Source organism: Homo sapiens, chromosome 10 (assembly GCF_000001405.40).
Source record: "Homo sapiens chromosome 10, GRCh38.p14 Primary Assembly".
In the NCBI taxonomy this organism is placed as follows: Eukaryota; Metazoa; Chordata; class Mammalia; order Primates; family Hominidae; genus Homo; species Homo sapiens.
Window position 1 is genome coordinate 57,222,140 of NC_000010.11, and position 1,340 is coordinate 57,223,479.

At 38.3% G+C, this 1,340-nt stretch overlaps 1 annotated feature.

The window, feature by feature from the left end:
• Positions 210 to 952: an enhancer, noted in NCBI's record as "OCT4-NANOG-H3K27ac hESC enhancer chr10:58982109-58982851 (GRCh37/hg19 assembly coordinates)". NCBI's record gives its function as "activates a minimal SCP1, AML or CMV promoter by ChIP-STARR-seq in naive and primed H9 embryonic stem cells {active_cell/tissue: H9 hESC(naive and primed)}" and the evidence as "EXISTENCE:reporter gene assay evidence [ECO:0000049][PMID:30033119]".

The following is a 1,340-nucleotide window of genomic DNA, read 5'->3' on the forward strand; positions in this document are numbered from 1 at the left end:
GACAAATTTTAAAATAAATAGAAATGCAAAGTTGGCTTATTGTTTTGAGAATCCCAAGTCAACTGAGGTTCCAGCACCAGAACAGCTAGCAACCTTGCCCCAAAGGGAAATGAAGGGGAGTTGGGCTAGTGTATTTACAGGGTGCCTTTCATGGAATACTTCTTTACCTGGCAGATGGCCTAATGCCTAGTTGTTTCACCCATGACCGGGGATCCCTCACGTGGGAAACTTGTTTAATACTGGCAGATGCCCTGGTGGCTCTTGTCTAATTCATGTCTAATGTATGCTTCCCTGACCATTACCCCGGTGCTGGCATCCCAAAATTGTGACTCCCATGCTACCCCACTCCACCCTCCTTATTCCAGAAAACCAGGCCTGGGGCAACCCCTAGTTTTTCGGAAGGAAGGAGCAAATTTACTACACTACCACAATATAAAAAAAAAAAAAAGGAACCTCAAAGGTTTTTACTTACAGATCCAGGGCAAAGAAGGCATAATGAGTCAGATGAGTCGAAACACTCCTTCATCCTGGGTTCACTGGAGGCAGGAATCAAGAGTAAGGCAGAGATAGTGAGCACATGACTACCAGTAGTACATTTAAGGGAATAGGGTGTATGTCACTCTAAGCTCACAGGCAATTGCCTGAATAGTCCATTTAAAAGAAACAGTGGGAAAGTGGGGAGCCCAGTCTGCATGACAAAGAGATGCCTGTAAATTCCTATCTCTGGCTACCGGCTTGAGCCAGTTGGATGGATATGGTGTAGAACTAGAAACTGAATCAAGGTTGACTGAGCCCTGCTTCTGGTATGAGAAAGTTAAACTTGTATTCAAAATGGATGCCAAAGCAACATAAAATTATGAGAATTCACTGCAGTTATTACGTTTACTTTATTACTCACATAGAAAATATTACATTACACATTTATTCTATTATAATATAATAAAAAACCTTCTATCAAAGATTATGATGTACATATTAAAAATTAAAATTTTAGAAAGGCCAATAGAGAATCATGCACTTAGCTAACACAATAAAATTAACCGTTCTGCTTTCCACATTAATGGTGTAAAAGAAAAATTTGTTAGAAACAATGACCCTACATTGTGTTTTGAATATTGTTATCTGAGGGCACTCTAAAGATCTCCAGGAATATGTTTTAATAAGATTTCAGAAATAGCTTCTCTGTTCTTCTGGATGGTTGAATTTGTTAATAGTTTTTCTCATCCATGTCTCCCATTCTAAACCTGGTCTTACAGGAACTGGAATCATATTCCTTTAAAAACAAATGTTGGTTTTGCTTCCTTATAAATTTTAAGATAAAAACTTAATAATTGCCTTAT